General features: G+C 36.9%; 1 annotated feature.

Moving 5' to 3' along the window:
* Nucleotides 572–1,771: an enhancer, noted in NCBI's record as "BRD4-independent group 4 enhancer chr6:87497596-87498795 (GRCh37/hg19 assembly coordinates)". NCBI's record gives its function as "activates an origin of replication core promoter dependent on BRD2, P300/CBP, MED14 and CDK7 cofactors, and independent of BRD4, by STARR-seq in HCT116 cells {active_cell/tissue: HCT116}" and the evidence as "EXISTENCE:reporter gene assay evidence [ECO:0000049][PMID:35650434]".

Below are 3,667 nucleotides of genomic sequence, written 5' to 3' on the forward strand. Positions count from 1 at the left end.
ACAAACTTAACTCATAGAGACAAAGCATTCTAAGTAGAAGCATTATTTCATCCTTTTTAGCTTTGTATTCATAATAACTTTATTGAATTGATTCTCTACCATGACCCAAGAATATAGTGTATCTTTATAATAAGAAACGGTGACTCACCATCACCCCACCTTGCTCCTCTTTATCTATTATAATCTACTAGCTTTCCATGGCTGGGTTAAACTCCTAGCCTTGGTTCCTGAAATCCAGAACCATAATCAATACATACATAATTAATAATCCAGAATTAACTTCATACCATATGGTAGGTAGTAACTATGGTGCCTGTGAACAAGCTTCATAATTACAAGAAATTAGTCCCTCCAGTTTTATTCTTGCTTCTAGATCCAGTTCAAAACAACATCAAGAACAGAACTCAAAGCAGTAAATGCAAAGCATAGCTGCCTTTGCAGTTAAGTTCCAGTTTGCTGCACCTGTTGAAAAATACAATAAAAAGAGCAAAATCATTTCACCATCCAGTTGGGGTAGAGGTTTAAAACTAGAAGATGAAGACTGTGCCCAAAGCATCAAAAGTGCCAAGTAAAGACCAAGACAAGGGATTGCAAAACACACACTCAACTCAGAGATAAATGAAGCATGGGAAGTGTGGGCAGGACAGGTGAGAGGTCCATGAGACAGGACATGAGAAAAAAGATGAGATAACCTGAACTGTAAGCTACCAAAGCAGGCCACTGGTTTAAAGGAGGGAATACAGTGTAAAGAAAGGCAAGCTGGGTCACTATGACTAGGGCAAGCAAATCTCTGAACTTCAGGAATTCAGGGACAGTAAGGCAACAGCTTCATGAACCAATAGAAAGAATAAGCCGGCTCCAGAAACAAGGAGAGATCATCTTCATCATCGTTTACCCTTTTCTTATAGGCTGTTGAGCATAAGTAAGCTGACAGGTGGAAGCAGCAACTGGAGTTAAAGAGAGCACAGGATTCCATAGCCTTGGGTATGTCCATGTAGGGGAGAAAAAGATTTCTTTCCTCAGTCCTCTCTAGGTTCATGTCTGAGACTCTATTACAAAAGACAGATTAACAAGAGACAAAAAAGACAAATTCATTTAATATAAATTTTACAAGACATGGGGACCTTCAAAAGTGAAGACTCAATGAAACAGTGAGACCTGTGTATTTTTATGTACAGTCATGCAGAATTATGATTGGAAGACAAAAGGTTATGATATAATGATAATAAACTTGAGCAAGATCTGTTTATTCAGATTCTTCTTGGCATCTCTGCATCTTCAAAGACATTCCTTTCCTCTGAATAAAGGGTAGACTCACCTAGAATGAAGGACTTCTTCAGAGGAAGGTCAGAAAATTCTTTTATGTCCTACTTCAGGGAAGAAGGCAGGAGAAGTCAAAAGTGACCTTCCTGTTTCTGCAGTTTCCTCAAATGCCAAGGTGCCATATTTTAAAGTAACATGTCCCAGACCCCATTATCTATGCTATAGCTATCTGAAAGAGAACAGCCAAAATTATAGGGGGCCGTCAGATGTTTCATTGGTTGCAATGTTCATACTACAGAAGCCTACTATCCAGTATAACAAGACTTGATCAAGTTGGTTGGTTAACTGAGAAAGATAGATTGTTAAATCAAGCAAGCATTAAAAGTCGATATGTAATGACACACAGCATACATTTCATTTTTACTGAAACCACATAGGAGCGCAATCATTCACTAAGATTTTGGTTTAGAATCAAAACTTCTCATTAGCATTCAGATTCACTGGTTGAAATTCTGCATTGTCTATTTATAATTGGATAATACATCATCTATGACGTCAAGTTTTAATGTCTGTAAGTGAACTTACAGGCATTTGCAATACCCCCTGAGTGAAGAATTCTTCCAGATTTTTATTACTGCTCCTCCCTCAACCTTTATAACAGTTTTGTCTACACCTAATTCTACAGTAATAATTTGGCAGCTTACTTTATGTAGATTTGATGCCTATTTGGGGGAAGTGGGGAGGCAGCTTACATTTTGTGTAGCTTTTTTACACAAAAAATTCAATAACAATCCTCTCCTGCATTCTTTTCATAGAATATGTAATATTTACTTAAATTATGAAAGTATAAGGTTAGAGTTAGGGTACAAGTAACATAAACAAGTTTGAGACCAAGCACAATTTATTCTTGGTTAGCATACAACTCAATGGAGAGCACAATTAATCTGGCAAGTTAATTTGGTGGCAGTTGGTTACGAGACTCTAATTTCACAGTGTAATTTTTACATTCAAATATGGTTTTTACCTGCTAAATTTGACAATGATAGCTTCGTAAAACCATAGGAAGATATAAACTGCTTCTAAATTAAAAGAAGTTTGTTCTTCCCGGAAAATTATTTCTGGCATTTACTGGATTGTATGACCCCAATATTAACAAATGCCAAGAACAGGTTTAAGTTGATAGAAAGGCCAGGCACAAACATCACATACTAGGTTGACTTATCTCAAGGATAGAGAAGCAAGTCAGTAAAGAGCTGCATTAGTGTTATCAGCAACATTTTCCTGGCCAGAAGGAGCTGTAACCACATAGAAACCCAGTTCTCACTACCTTAGCATGAATTGAGTGAGGCTCCACTGCTCTTCTCCAAATTAAGCCACAGATTTGAATTTTATATACATACTTATATACATATGGGTGGAGCAGTTCTTCTAACAGACTAGTCTAGACACGAGCTTGGGATAACCTCATCTGAGCCAAGTACAACTCATCAAAATAAAATATTACAAAAAGTCAGGTACAGAATAAACATATGAAGACATAGACACAGTTTTCATTTATCATCCCTGCCCTCCCTCGCTTAACACAGCCAGGATTAGTACTTTACAGTACTAATGATATCTTCTTGACATAGAGCTGCTGAAAAGAGAGCAGAGAACTGTTAGACAGCTGTCTCTGAAGGTCATGCTAATGAGTTCTTACACCAGTCCCTGGTCTTGTGCACAGGTGTTAGGTGAAAAAATGTTTCATAGTCAAAATGTGGAAAACACTTGGTTCAATAAGTTAAACAGGGTTCTTTACTGCAATACTTTAATATTAGTTGTTTATCAGGAGGAGGCTATAAATACCAGTGTTTCCTAAACTAATTTCAACTCAATTCAATTTGTTTTCAGCATGCATTACCCAAGATCAAAATTCTACAGCACACCATTTGGGAAATGCTTCTACAGCTTGTACTCTGTGCTTCATGTGTGTGTTTGGCTCCTAACTCTAAGGGCAGAACTTCTTTAACTTATACTTGAGTTTCACATTTTATCTTAATGTGGAACTTTTACACCTATGTCCAAATACCTGCACCATTTTGAGAACTGAAAGAAAATTTAAAAAGTCAAATGTTCTCTTTGCCCTTCAGTTTTCTATAAGGTAGTTAGGAACACATATACATGCAGCAGCCAAACTGTAATTTGTGGTAGTAATAGAAGAAACAGAACCTATGAGTTTTTGGGTATCTGTTGTGTCTCATATGCTATGCTAGCTTCCTTATATATATGATCTAAGTCCCCAAACACGAGTAGATATTATTCCGATTTTCATATGGGAAAACTGAAACTCAGAAGTGTTAAATACTGTGCCCAAAGTCACACAACTAGTTAGTGGCAGAGATGTAATTTAGTGGTTCTAATAAGA

This window comes from Homo sapiens, chromosome 6 (genome assembly GCF_000001405.40).
Source record: "Homo sapiens chromosome 6, GRCh38.p14 Primary Assembly".
Classification (NCBI taxonomy): Eukaryota; Metazoa; Chordata; class Mammalia; order Primates; family Hominidae; genus Homo; species Homo sapiens.